General features: G+C 40.1%; 2 long non-coding RNA genes across 4 annotated transcripts in view; one reads left to right on the top strand and one right to left on the bottom strand.

Moving 5' to 3' along the window:
- Nucleotides 1–15,589, bottom strand: part of LOC107986141 (uncharacterized) — a 46,871-nt gene that overhangs the window by 26,772 nt on the left and 4,510 nt on the right. The gene's annotated exons all lie outside the window — the stretch shown is intronic.
- Nucleotides 2,771–15,589, top strand: part of LINC01214 (long intergenic non-protein coding RNA 1214) — a 58,341-nt gene continuing 45,522 nt past the window's right edge. For both annotated transcript variants that reach the window (NR_110186.1, NR_110187.1), the window contains exon 1: nucleotides 2,771–2,807. This is a non-coding gene — a long non-coding RNA (long intergenic non-protein coding RNA 1214). The remainder of the gene's footprint in view (nucleotides 2,808–15,589) is intronic.

Raw genomic sequence — 15,589 nt, 5'->3', positions numbered from 1 at the left:
GTCTTACACAATCATTAATTTTGAATGCATTGCTTGAATGCCTACTGTGTGCCAGATACTGTATTAGTTTCTGAGCATATGACAATGAACTGGAGTCACACACGGTGATCATAGAGCAGAATATTTCTTATTGAACTACCTCAGAAAATCTAGGTTGACTGATTGCTATAGTTATAAATCATGCCTAGTTGCATATTACTACAACTTTTGGTTGAATTTAATGGGTAATTTCTTTCATGTGACAAAATGTCACTATTTGTACATAAATTTCCACACAAGGTATAAAATAGGGTACATATGCTGTGGTTTATGGGCTTTTGTTAATGCAAAGTCCCTGAAGCCTACAATTTAGAAGTGGTTTACATTCCAGAAGTTTGTTTACAAGTCACTTGTTCAATGGTAGTTTTCCAAAGCCGATCAGCAAAAAACCTATTTAACCTATAAAGCAGCTGAAACCAAGCACTTGTCTTATAATTAAAACTAACCACTAGGTTTAACAATGTTTCTAAGGTTGAGGGCATTCAAAGTTCAATTTCAGTTCTATCCACAAGCACATTTTTCCTGGAAGCAGTATGGAAATGCGAGTGGGAACATTTCCCTAATTCCAAGATAATCAAGGGAGCTACCACCTAAGCAGGGGCAGGTCCAGGCTTTGCAGTGGCCTGAAGATTAGACCACTTGGGGGGCCCTCTTTAAGAAGAATAATACAAAATTAGATATGAGACCTTGCAAAGGGCCCGTGCAAGCTAGGACATCCGAAGTTTAAGCTTCATTGGTGTCCTTGGTAAATCTGTCTCTATAGCTATGGCAGGGTCAGGCCAGGGGTAACAATGGATGGATGGGTGGGAGATTTGTGAGAGGAAGTTGAAGCTCTGTTGGGGAGCAGTTAAAGGACTAAGAGAGATAGACACTAGGCCCCTAACATAGCCAGTGTAGGGGGATGGGACATTCAATAGCTATGATTGTTCCCATGCCAGAGATGGTGTTACCCTGACCTTTAACAGTCAGAGTCAAAGGCATGTTGTTAGAGGGACAGGACCTTTGGGGTGGCAGGATGGGGCCATATGTGGGACATTAACAGGATTGGTGAAAGGATGGGTAAGACTGGCTCAAAAGCGAAAAGTAGAGGGATGGGGATGGGGACAGATTCTATAGCTGAGGTGGGATGGGGCGCAGGGTTTAGGTTAGCTCCACATTGCTGTGATTAGCGGTTAGAAGGATCAGGCCAGCATTAGAAAAGGGGATTGTCAAGGAAGAAAGGAGGTGCATTCTCACCTGCAGCAGGTGGACAAAAGAGGCCACAGGTGCAGGGGCAGTAAGAAGGGGTGGAGTCCACTCGAGTTCAGAAAAGCATGATGTAAGGGGCCATGAATAAGTCAGAAGCCATGAGTGAGACACAGCCTGTAATTATGAAGGAGGATAACACTCACCAGGCCAGAGTGTGATTCGGATGCATATGAGTTGAGAAAACCCAATCATTTCAGATGAATTAGAACAATGTGTTAGCAAACCCCACATGAACGTGTAATCTGCAGTAGTTAGGCTTAGGATAAACTCTGGTGAGCACTCTGTGGTGACAAGAGATAAGCCCATGACCTTTAAATAAAGGCCACTGGCTTGGTTGAGAATAATTGTCTTTCCTGAGGAACAAGTGAAATGAGATTTTGATTTCTTACACCAGAAGAGCTTGAGACAAAGCCAGCTGAGAAATGTAGAGTCTGCACGTGAGCACCACTCAGTCATTTTCCCCTAAAACCTCTGTGGGAGAGAGACTCTGAATATGAGCCTTCTCTAATAGCTCAGCTTGGGTGACTTCTGTGGCCCCAGGCAGCTTGGGCAACTCCTCTGGCCCCAGGAGTTTGATCAGAGAAATTTCCACAATTAATGCTGTAGGTAAGTGTTCTTGTTTTGAAAAGAATGCAGTGGCCATTATGCCTATGCATGTATCTACAAATAGTGTCCTTTTAAAAGGCATCTATAGCATTAAGCAAAGATAAAGAATGGTAGTTATGAAATATAGGGGCGGGGTGCAAAAAACTAACGTAAAGCTAGTATGTTAGGAGTTCTGCAATGTGAATCTAAGGTCAGATGTTATATGAAAAACTACTGAGCTGTTTTTCTTTCTCATGGAGAAGGGTGTTTCAAAGCAAGAAACAGAAAATGTGAAGTATATCAGTCAGGCCCTCTGGCCAGAAAAACAAGCCGTTCCAGGTTTTTCTGACAGTAAATTTGACATAAAGAATTGGTTACCTATGAAACAGAAGAGCAGAGAAGCCAAACATGAAATGCAGGGAGAATTCCAGAGATTAGCAACCTTCTCTCACTTTAAGACTGGAAGAACAATAGCAGAAAGTGGCATTATCAGAGCCCAGGGCCATTCTGTGGGGACTAGAACCATAGTAGAGACTTTCCAGTTGGAGCTGAGACCACAGAGGGGACATTACTGGTGCTTGAAATACCACAGGGAACACAGAGAGAAACATACGCTGGCTTCTTTCTTCCTTTTACCCCTCATTCTAGTGCTCATGCCTTCCATTGGCTATAGCTAGCTGGACCAGAGGTCCAAGCAACCTGGGAAATGTAGTTTCTTTCAGCCAAAGCAGAGTACTGGATTCCTAAGACAGCAAACTGCAGGTGGGCTGCATAGCACAACAAATTTAAGTTTTGTGTAATTAAGGATGTTGCCAAACTGCCTTGGAATTATTAGCCCTTTATGAGATCAACCCTGTAATAATGGTCATAATGTGTCCGGAATTGGTGGGTTCTTGGTCTCACTGACTTCAAGAATGAAGCCGTGGACCCTCACGGTGAGTGTTACAGCCCTTAAAGGCAGTGTGGACCCAAAGAGTGAGCAGTAGCAAGATTTATTGCAAAGAGCGAAAGAACAAACCTTCCACAGACTGGAAAGGGACCCAAGCGGGTTGCCACTGCTAGCTCAGGCAGCCTGCTTTTATTCTCTTATCTGGCCCCACCCACATCCTGCTGATTGGTAGAGCCCAGTGGTCTGTTTCGACAGGGCGCTGATTGGTGCGTTTACAATCCCTGAGCTAGACATAAAGGTTCTCCACATCCCCACCAGACTCAGGAACCCAGCTGGCTTCACCCAGTGGATCCAGCACCGGGGTTGCAGGTGGAGCTGCCTGCCAGTCCCGGTGCCGTGCGCCCCCCACTCCTCAGCCCTTGGGCGGTCGATGGGACTGGGCACCTTGGAGCAGGGGGTGGCGCTCATCGGGGAGGCTCGGGCCGCACAGGAGCCCATGGAGGGAGTGGGAGGCTCAGGCATGGCGGGCTGCAGGTCCCGAGCCCTGCCCCGCGGGAAGGCAGTTAAGGCCCGGTGAGAAATCGAGCGCAGCGCCGGTGGGCTGGCACTGCTGGGGGACCCAGTACACCCTCCGCAGCCGCTGGCCCGGGTGCTAAGCCCCTCATTGCCCGGGGCTGGCAGGGCCGGCCGGCTGCTCCGAGTGCGGGGCCGGCCAAGCCCACCCCCACCCGGAACTCCAGCTGGCCCGCAAGCGCCGCGCGCAGCCCGGGTTCCCGCTCGCGCCTCTCCCTCCACACCTCCTTGCAAGCTGAGGGAACCGGCTCTGGCCTTGGCCAGCCCAGAAAGGGGCTCCCACAGTGCAGCGGTGGGCTGAAGGGCTCCTCAAGTGCCGCCAAAGTGGGAGCCCAGGCAGAGGAGGCGCAGAGAGCGAGCGAGGGCTGTGAGGACTGCCAGCATGCTGTTACCTCTCAATAAGGTGACTAGAAAATATTACTGTATTATTAGTGAAATTCTTGAACTTGACCTTCACTATTTTTGATATAAAAATTTTAATAAATAGGTAATACAGGCACATGAAACAAAATTCAAAATTATGAAACATAGTTTAATGCCTACAGCTTTGTTTTGTTTTTTTGTTGCTGTTGTTTTTGTTTTTTGCTTTGTTTCATTTTTGCTTAGGATTGCTTTGACTCTTTGGGCTCTTTAGTTCCATATGAATTTTAGAATAGTTTTTTCTAATTTTATGAAGAATGATGTTAGTAGTTTGATAGGAATAGCATTGAATCTGTAAATTGCTTTGGACAGTATGGCCATTTTTACAATATTTAGATTCTTCTAATCCATGAGTGTGGAATGTTTTTCCATTTATTTGTGTCATCTCTGATTTCTTTCAGCAGCGTGTTGTAGCTCTCCTTGTAGGGTTATTTCACTTCCTTGGTTAGCTGTATTCCTAGGTGTTTTATTTTCTTTGTGGCTATTGTGAAAGGGATTGTGTTCTTGATTTCACTCTCAGCCTGGATGTTGTTGATGTATAGAAATGCTACCGATTTTTGTACATTGATTTTGTATCCTGAAACTTTGCTAAAGTCATTCATCAATTTTACGAGCCTTTAGCAGAGTCGTCAGGATTTTCTAGGAATAGAATCATATCATCAGTGAAGAGAGATAGTTTGACTTCTTCCTGTCCTATTCGGATGCCTCTTATTTCTTTCTCTTGCCTGATTTCTCTAATAATTCCGGTACTATGTTGAATAGGAGTGGTAAGAATGGGCATCCTTGTCTTGTTCCAGTTCTCAAGGGGAATGGTTCCAGCTTTTGCCTATTTGGTATAATGATGGCTGTCAGTTTTTCATAGATGGCTCTTATAAAGCCACAGTAACACAACAGCTTGGTACTGGTACAAAAACAACACACAGACCAATGGAACAGACCATAGACCAATGGAACAGAATAGAAAACTCAGAAATAAAGCCACACACCTACAACCATCTGATCTTTGACAAGGCCAAGAAAAACAAACAATGGGGAAAGGACTCCCTATTCAATAAATGGTGCTGGGATAACTGGCTAGCTATATGCAGAAGATCGAAGCTGGACCCTGACTTTTCACCATAATCCAAAAATAACTCAGAATGGATTAAAGGTTTAAATGTAAGGCCTCAAACTATAAAAATCCTGGAAAACAACCCAGGAAATACCCTTCTCAACATCAGCCTTGGCAAGGAATTTTTGGCTAAGTTTCCAAAAGTAGTTGCAACAAAAACAAAAATAGAAAAGTGAGACCTAATTAAACCAAAGAGCTTCTGCTCAGCAAAAGAAACTATCAGCAGAGCAAACAGACAACCTGCATAATGGGAGAAGATATTTGCAAAGTATACATCTGACAAAGACCTAATATCCAGAATCTATGGGGAACTTAAACCAACAGGCAATAAACAAATAACTTCATTGAAAAATGGGCAAAGGACCTGAACAGACACTTCTCAAAAGAAGTCATACATGTCACCAAGAAACATGAAAAAATGCTCAGCATCACTAATCACCAGAGAAATGCAAATCAAAACCACAGTGAAATACCATCTCAATCAGAATGGCTGTTATTAAAAAGTCAAAAAAACAACAGGTGCTGGAGAGGTTGCAGAGAAAAGGGAACGCTTATACACTGCTGGTGGGAATGTAAATTAGTCTAGCCACTGTGAAAAGCAGTCTGGAGATTTCTCAAAGAACTTAAAGCAGAGCTACATTTCAACCCAGCAATCCCATTACTGGGTATATACCCAAAAGAAAGTAAATCATTCTACCAAAAAGACACATGCACTCATGTGTTCAGTGCTACACTGTTCACAATAGCAAAGACATGGAATCAACCCAGGTGCCCATCAATGGTGGATTGGATAAAGAAAATGTGATACATATATACCATGGAATACTATGCAGCCATAAAAAAAGAATAAAGTCATGTCCTTTGCTGTAACATGGATGGAGCTGCAGGCCATAATTGTAAGCAAATAAATGCAAGAACAGAAAACTAAATACTGCATGTTCTCACTTATAAGTGAGAACACATGGACATAAGCTTTGAGCATACATGGACATAAATATGGGAACAGTAGAGACTGTGGACTACTAGAGGGCATGGTGAAGTTAAAAAACTACCTATCAAGTACTATGCTCACTACGAGGGTTACAGGATTTGTACTCCAAACCTCAGTATCATGTAATATTCTCACGTAAAAAATCTGCACATATAACCCCATATCTAAAATAGAAGTTGAAATTAAAAATTAAATTAAATTTTAAAAAGTTATGAAAGGATAATGAAAAGTCTCAGCCAGTCCTCACCCTCCCATATAGCTATATCATATCTATATATCCATATCTTAATCTATATCTATCCTTTTTTCTATATACAGAAGATATATATTTTCTCTTCCACAAGTGATAGCATACCACATGTGCTGCTCTATTGATTCATTTGGGACCTACCAATTTAACTCCAAAGATATTTCTTCTCTGTAGAAATACAATGGGTGTGCCCATTGGGTCAGACTTGTGCCTTTCTATAAATCATCAGGCTTGCAGTCATCCAGTGTTCAACCAGTCAGGCAAAGAATTCTCCAAGGCAGTAATTCAACAGAAGCTTTGTGGATTTGTCAGACTGATTCAAGGGTTTGGAATGACTCACTGGGGCTTGGGTTAAGTAATCTCTGCTTAATCATATCACTTGGAGCAAAGGTAAGTTGAAGATTTAAATCCTGGTGGCTCAGTATCTCATCTGGACACTGGCAGAGTAATTCTCAGCCCAGCAACAGTGTCAGGGTCAGAAAAACAGCCCCAAATGCCTTGTATTATTGTACAGCAAGACAATGTCTGCATGGGTTAAAAAGAGTATGTGCATATGTCTGTGTTTATGTATATATATGCACACGTACAAATACATTAATATATTCACATACATATATTTGTACATACTACACATGTATGTACACATGGGAAGAAAACAGATTTGAAAATTTCTCAAGTCTCTGGAACAGAGACATCTTTATAAGCTTCGAAATGATAGAAATAATTACAAAATGAAGAAAAAGCTCAATTGATTATAAGAACATTAATATGTTCTGCATATAAAAACACCAGAACAACAAAAATACAAAACACTGGGAAAATACTTTTGGTAAGTATGACAGGTAAAGGGATGACATCTTAATTATTTAATACACTCATGTACAGCTATATAGTGAGGTGACAGTAAGAGCCTCAGCTTTGATGTTAGACTTCCTATGATATAAACTTATCTGGGTCCCAGTTTCTCCATCTGTAAAATGGTTATTATGGTAATACTTTTTGGAGTTTTGTGAGGTTTAGATGTGATATATATGTAAAATACTTAGAACAGTGCCTAGAACTTGATAAACACTCAATGGGAGTTACCTATTATTGTTATTAGTAAAAGCAAAATTGTTAAATAAATCAAAAATGACCTGAACTGTCAACTGCAGTTGTAACACAAGGGAAATGTTCAAATTTATAATTTATTCAAGAAATATATTGTTGTACTTGGCCAGAGTAGTTAAAAAATTAATACCCAATGCTAGTGAAGATGAAGTAAAACTAATACACTTTTTGTGGCAATAAGGTTAAAACTATACTTTTGAAAAGAAAATTGGCAATGTATATTAAGAGTTATGCAATGTTTAAATTCTTGTTTAATTTGATCACTTTGCAACTTATAATTTTCCTTAAAGATATAATCCAAAGAGAGAATACCTTATAAACTATTTTTTTCTGCATTGTTTATGAGAAGAGCATAAAGTCCAAAGCAGCTAGCATACTGCTTTGGTTGATTACATTCTGGTACAATAATTGTATGTATATGCATCAATACCAGATGATAGTTATTTGCAACAAAATGGCAATTCATATACTGTAGTTATGTAGTTTATATTAAAAATATAAAATTCAAAGTTATAATGACTATATAGCAACATTCTTATTATGTAATTTTGAAATTTTATATATTTTCCCCATACTTAAACTCATATTAAAAGCTTGGGAGGCAATACATGTAAATGAAAATTGTTGTGTTTGGGTGATGCAGTTATGAGTAATCATTTTTCTTTCTTTTTTTTATCTTTAAAATTCTTTAAAATTACTTTTAAATTATAAAAGTAATTCATGCTTATTGTTTAAAAAATTGCAAAGGCATATAGAGCAGAAACTAAAAGTCCCTTATGAATCCCCTCTCCCAATTTTCTACCCTCCCATCTCTGTTCCAACTCCTCAAATCTCACACTCTTCCTCAGCAATGACCACTTAGGAATATGTCCTCCTAAATACCTCTCTATGCGTTTACACATACATACATATATCTGCACATTTACCACACGCATTTTTCTTACATTAATGGGATTTCTACTATTCTGCTATTTGCCTTTTTTGCTTCATTGGTATATTTTCTTTGGTCTTATTCCTTGTCAGTTCAAATAGAATCATATGATTATTACATTTACAATATGGGCACACAAAGATTTGTTTTTATCAACCCATTATTGATGAATTTTTGTGCAGTCTTTTTTTTGCTATTGGAAATATTGTTACAATCCTTGTACTCTTTGTTAATATGTGTATTTCTTTAGGACAGGTATTTAGAATGAAATTGCTGGGCCGAAGATTTGCCCATTCAAATTTCTAAGAGTTGCTTCCAAACCATACTGTGAGAAGATTTTATCAATTTTTATCTCCATAAATTTTTTTAAAGAAAATAGTCAAACCAGAAGTCCCATGAAACTAACTTAAGAGATAAGCAAAAGTGTCTATAGCCCATTGACTTCCATATCAGAGGTAGGTAGCTTAATTTTGGTTTTATTCTTTCAGTTATCCTTATAAATTTAACTAACTCATGATTCTACCATACCCCTCATTCATTTTTTACTTTAACTTTACTTTGACGTTCTGGTCAGTATGCTCATTTCTAGGTTTTGTCCTAGAAGTGTGTTTGAACTGGTTGGATCAACTTAGTAAATAAAGATGAGTAACTTTGTAAATAAAGCTAATTTTGACACTGTTCCTAGAGCCGCTGGGCATGGTTGTGCTGTTGTGCTCTACAAAGGGGACTCAAGGGCACTGACATCCTGTCTGTGCTCCACTCACCAAGCCCTGTACCCTGGGTGCAGGCAGGGGAGGGCAGAGTCTGCTTGGAGGAAATAGTTCCTTTCCAAATTCATGTAAAAAATGGTTTATTGAGGTCTTAGCTGCCCTGATGATTCATAATTAAAATTTTTTTAATTTAACTGATTCTTTACCTCTCAATAAAGTTTGCCATATTAAAAGGATGATGAAAAATTTACAATTAGCCTTAGAATTTAAAGGGTAAGTATAGTTCAAACATAGTTCTGTCAGAATTTGGCTATGATGAAAAAAAGTTTTGGTGAGCTAAGGAATCCAAGGAGAATACACATCATTAGGAAAAGAACTATAATTGAAAATTCAGAAGCAATCTAATAATTTCCTTATCATTGATAGATTTTGGAAAATCATAAAATGAACTCATGCATATACTGCCAAATAATGAAATAGAATAGGGCTAGGATACATCTAGTTTATAATTATTATAGTTGTTGAGTATTGTTCCACTGTTAAATATCTTTTTTTTGGAAAGCTCTAACTGAGATATATTCAAGCAGATATAATTATTGCTGTTCCATAGATGCTAAACAAGATATTTCATGTTATCTGTAATGAGGCATGAAGTAATTACAATTTCAATGGTGAGCACTTGATAAGTTGTAGATCATCTTCCAATGTAAGAAGACATCCTCACTCCACTTTATAATGTTTAAACTAGAACTCACACGGTGTGCCTGTGAAAGCAGTCAGCAGTGAACAACTTAAATAGAAAATACTGAGCATAGAGTTGATGGACTGATGTGCATGGATTGGGCAAGGATCTCATAAAAATCTTAACATGAGCTGATCCTATGGGCCTAAGTAACATCAGGAAAGGTTTAGGTTACACCCAAAGGTAGGAAGGAAGAAAGGAAAAGGACAGACTTGCCAAGGGAAGTATTGTTACCTGAAGTTTCCAAGGTAACAAAATTATCTTTTGGGGATACCTTTATAATAAGACACATGAGTTTATGAATGTAGGCTTTAAACTTTTTTTTTTTCTTTTTTTTTTTAGAGATGGGGTCTGGCTAAGTTGACCAGGCTGGTTTCAAACTTCTGGGCTCACGTGATCCTTTCACCTCGGTGTTCAGGGTAGCTGAGACTTACAGGCACACACCACCATGCTTGGCTATGGCTTTTTTTGTGTGTTGTTTTTTTTTTTATTTCTGGCGATGGCAGGAATGTAAATTTTAGGAGAGAATGAGAGACTAGCTCTTGTTAGGGATTCTAAAATTCCACTAAATAATTCCTGACTCTGACAGTTGGCAGGTATATTCTGGATGGGCTCTAATAAATTAGATCAGTATTTAACAAGGAGAATTATTTTTGCTTTGCTTTCTGTGACTTTGGATTCACTCAGAAGGAAAGTGAGGGCAGGATGAGTATGGACCACAGTTCTCATGCTCCTTCTGGCAGCTCTAAAACCATCAGAATCTAGGACCATCCCTGCCCTTGACTGCATGGGGAGTTTGGATCTACTAACATGAAGTTGCCAAGTCACAGTAATATCAAATTCAGCCTGGGCCCAGCTGTTGAGTCCCTGAAGTTCTCAGGCAAAATGAGAACTGGTAGGACTGGTAAGAACAGAGCATCAGGTGGGTGGGCAGCATAAGATGTGTGTGCTAGAAAGAGGAGAGGGGAGGATATGCATGTCAGCAACGACTATTTGCCACATTCTCTGAGGCTGGCAGCAGCTCTGGAGCAAGACATTCTGAGTTACTGGGGCAACAAAAACTGGGTTGGTAAAGCAAAGCCACAAGTAGTTCTTAAATTTCATTTAAGCCTCAGAATCAAGCCTCTTATTAAACTGCTAAACTGGGTCAGTTTACAAATAACATTGGACTGGTCTCAACCACCTCATTAATTCTCTTCTAGTTTATGTCACAGAAACTAGTCTATGCCTTCTCACCTGTCTGTAGGATGATCCCCTGGTTAACTGAATATAGTCTATGTGTTTTTCTCTAGAAGATATATGTCCTGAGGTGAAATCCCAAATCATAAGACACCCATAATTTACCATTATAAGAAAACAAAGAGCTCAATTACAATGACAATAATAATAGTTAACATTCATGGAGTGCTTATGGCTAACTACTGTGCTGAGTGTTTGTACACATTGCATAATTCAATACGGAAAACATCCACTTTGAAATATAGACTAGTAGTTATTATCCTTATTATAAAGTTGAGGAACCTGAGTGATAAAGAAGTTAAGGAGCTTGCCCATGGTCACATCGCTAGTAATGGCAGTAACCAAGATGTTTGGCTCCCATAAGGAAAACCTAACCAAACCTAAGGAAATCGTAACCCTTAATATACTCAAGGAGCAGGCTAGATCCACTTATTTATTGTAGCTTCTTTTTCTTCTCTTTATCCATGAATATAAACTATTTCTGAACATCACCCTGGAAAGATAGCTTTGAGTTGCATGCCTCCTGTGCATATGGTATACACATTAAACTGTATATACCTAGTAACAGAATAACATGAAAGACTGGACCCAGCAGCCTGCTTGGCATACTGCAGTCTTTGAGCCCCCTTGCGGGACCCCCAAAGCAGATTTAGTGCTTCTGGGAAAGAACTGTCCCCTCTCAATCACAGAGTTCAGTTGAAACACTGTGAGTATGTAATCCGTGACACATAGTGAGGGAGGAAACCAGTATTTATCTATGGGGTTCAGCCCCCAGTGATAAGGGACAATATGAATGGGACTTTTTCTTTCCTCATGGTTGGCAGAGGCCCAGTCAAGCTGCCATCAGCTCCTCCAACGGCCAGAGGCTTAAAGGAACTTCTGAGTCTAAAAAAAAAACAGCAAAGCAAAGGAAAAAAAAAAAAAGAAAAAGCTAGGTCACCCAACAGGTAGAGCAGGGCAGGTGACAGGTGACAGGCTACACGCCCTGCTGCTGGGACTGTGTTCACAGCCTGGCTCTAGCAGTCCTTTTGCTAGGGCTGTGAATTTTTCTCTGACAGCTTAATACTTTTGGGTGGGACAAAAAAGTGTTAATGTAGTGTAATTTTCAATCCATTTAAAGGGGCTTAATTCAGAATGCTCCCTCCCATTCTTTTGGCTAGGACGCCTGTGGGTCAGCATTTGAGATACAGTTAGATTTGATCCAGCTGAGCAGGGAGTACCTTGCAGCCAGCTAGTGATCTGGAAAATGTTTATGACACCTTGTCAAGTGAAAACAACAGCATATAAAACAGCAGTACACTTGAAATATGCACAGAAAAATATTAGAAGGATAGATACCGCCAAGTTAACAGTGGTTACCTCTAGATGGTGGAATATGGGGGGTTTCTCTTTCATTTTATTCTTCATTCAGATATCATTTGAGTGGTTTCCATGACTGAGGCATAACAGATTCTTACAAGTATTTTCTTTTGTGTTTTAAAACACTTATGCTATACGAACATCTGTTTCTTTTGTAATAAGAAAAGAGCTATTTTTCAAAGACTACCTCATATCTCTAACAAAAATTTTTACCTCTTTAGAAGACAACCCAGTGCACAAAAATCCTCAACTTAAAAACAAGTAAACTATGATGTGACCATTCATTTTACAAATAGATTCGCCACGTGGTTATTTTTAATAGAGTGCTCCCTTGCCCTCCATATCTGATTCAGTTTTCAATAATTTGCCTCCATAACAAGGGAAATGTAAATTCAAACTTTGTAAATTAGGATAAAATTATTTACACACCCTTTGGTTTAGCTTTTTAATCCAGGTTGGAACCAATAAATGAGAAAAGTAAACTATGGTGATGGAACGCCCTTGCCCACAAAATAGGGATATGCGTGTAGCAGAGACGGCCTCTTGCCCATTGACATCTCTATCAGGCCTGGTGAGCTGGATCTGCTGCAGGGATTCTGCTGCTCCTGCCTCTAACCTCACCCCTTCTCCCTCTCCAACAAGCCTTGCTGCTTTCTGTCATTCATAAGTGCCTTGGCTGTGATGGGGACCAGTGGATGGTGAGGCATGTGAGAAAAGGGGAATGATGCTCTGCAGCCGGGTGCATGGCCTAGTGTTAGTGCTCAAAGAACAGAATGAAAGAGGTTTCATTATTTTCAGAGTTAGCCATAGAACTTGAGTATCTATCAGAAGGAGTTTTATGTGCTCCAAGAGGCTGAGGGAGCCTTGGGTAGAGTGAGGGATGTAGTTGGTGCTGAGACCCCACACTGCTCCTGTGGGGATTGAAACTGTAAGGGGTTGAGGGACAGAAACAAGGATCCGCCTATAATCGGAAACAGTAGAGAAGGTGAGTTGGGCCAGGACTAGTGTGGCTTTTTATGCCCACTTGAATCCACTCTATTCAGTTCCTATCATGTGCCAGGCTATGCACTAGCATGGAAAATACAAGTGTTGTGACTCAATTGGCTTCCAAGGCAAGGCAAAGTAAGGGTTGCATAGGTCACAAATCCCATAATATTGGAAGAAGTTAGCCGTGGGTTGTGGGAGAAGTGTCTACAGAAAGTCTGAGCATACAGAGGAGACTTACAGGAGGAAAATATTTCCTGGAGTGGGTGGCATTCAAGAGGATCAAGGACTGTGAGAGGCAGGAAAGGGGAGGGGGATATCAGTGGATGTATTAGCTTAAAAGTGTGGAGCTGGGAGACATTACCTGCTCCTGTCTGGTTGGAGGGTAAGGTGGAGATAGGAGCCCGGCGACACCATCTGTACCTGTGCAGGGAAAGTGCCAGCTACAGAACTAACAGGGTTTGTTTTAACTATAGAAAGAGATATATATCCATGGGTATCTTTTTTTTGTTGTTTGTATTTTAAAAGTGCACAATCAGAGCAACCATCACCACTATCTAGTTCCAGAATATTTTTTATCATCCCCAAAAGAAATTTCATACTCATTAACAGTCTATCTTCTCTCCCTAGACCCTGGCAAGCACTAATCTACTTTCTGACTCTACTGATTTGCCTATTCTGGACATTTTATTATAAATGGAATCATACAATATGTGGCCTTTTGTGTCTGGCTTCTTTCACTTAGCATAATGTTTTCAAGGTTCATCCATGTTGTAGCACATATCAGAACTTCGTTCCTTTTGATGGTCAAATTATGTTTCATTGTATGGATATACCACATTTTGTTGATCTGTTCATCAGCTGATGGACATTTGAGTTGTTTCCCCCTTCTGGCTATTATGAATAATGCTGCTAAAAACATTTATTTACCCATAGGCATCTTAAATAAATACACAGGAGTACCCACTTGAGTGAATGAAGTTTCAAATATTTTCTTCTCTACCAATGAATGTGGAAGTCTTTCTAGGGCTTCACTCTGGCTTAGCTCTCAAAAACCTTTTACACTCTTTGAGGACTAGCTTGCTCTTGGCCAGCTTGCTCTTTTTGCAGTCTCTGAAGTGGATCCATTTCTGGGTTTCTGTTTGGTAGTTTCTTAATCTAAGAGCAGGCATTGCCCCCACATTCCCTGTACAAACAAGGTTCAGCTGCCACCTGCATGTGTCAGGTTGGGCAGTTATTTTACAGGGAGGATTCCAGGTCTCACATGTGCACTGCTGTGCTCAGGGCTATCTTGAAAAAGGCAGGATTTTCACCCTGCCACAATCAGAAGAGAAAAAACTCTAAACTCTGGGCAATCTTACACAATCAATGCATCAGAATGTTACCTAAATATTTATTTCAAAGAAGGAAACATTCAGATTTATTGTTTAAAAATACTCACTGTATAATATTCAAAACTGTATTTTTGTTCTTTTGGGTACATTTTTGAAATGTATGTATTTTATATGTGACCTAGAGTCCAAGACAAGTAAATTGTGGCCCGAATCCAGAGATCATTTCTTCAAACTACTTTTCTTTGTTCTAATTTTTCTTTTGATCCCCTTATTCCAAACCACAGCCTTCTTTCTTCTATTCCCCACTCAATAACTCTAGACCCTCCTCTGAAAAAGTCCCTAAATCATAGCCTCTCTTCTTTAATCTCCCTTTCCAGACCTCACCCCCTGGCCCTTCTAGTTACCTCCTCCTCCAAATCACAATTCTCCCTTTCAAAACTTTTAAAACTCATTTCCTAAACCAGCTTCTTTTCCCAAATCCACTTTCCTGAAAACTATAGTTTACTTTTTGGAACTGAAAGACACACATGTCCTACAATCAGTAATGGGGCTGGGACTGCTTCATGGAGAGAAGAGACCAGGAAGCTATGAACTTTGGAGGCTCTGGAGACATGTGGAGAGGCTGCTGGAGGCAGAAATTCAGAAATTCTAGAACCATGACTTCAGGGCCCTCTGGATAAGCCTGGGGCTGTGGGCAGCTGCCCTCATTTTGCTGAACTTTGATTTTCTCATCTGGCATATACTAAGCCTCTGGTTCACAGGAGGTCTCAATAATAATATTTGTTGACTTGATTAAGTGGTCGAATGAAGGACTAAGACAAGGTGACCTCTAAGCTGCTTTCAGCTCTATGTAAAACTCTAATATCCATGAAGTCAAGATGAAGAGGATTGGCAGAACTTTTGAAGTTTCAATTATCCAACCAATTATTTTCATTTTGTTCTTCACTTTGCTTGTGTACATGAAGTCTTTTTTTGTCGAGGAGGAAAATCAGTTGAATTTTCCTGGGAATAGATACAAGACAGTTTACTCCCCTCTTTGGACTCCAAACTCCTTGACTATATATCTGTCAGTAG

The sequence above is a fragment of the Homo sapiens genome, chromosome 3 (assembly GCF_000001405.40).
Source record: "Homo sapiens chromosome 3, GRCh38.p14 Primary Assembly".
Lineage (NCBI taxonomy): Eukaryota > Metazoa > Chordata > Mammalia > Primates > Hominidae > Homo > Homo sapiens.
The sequence above is the reverse complement of the archived record's forward strand: the minus strand, read 5'-3'. Positions and strand labels throughout refer to the sequence as shown.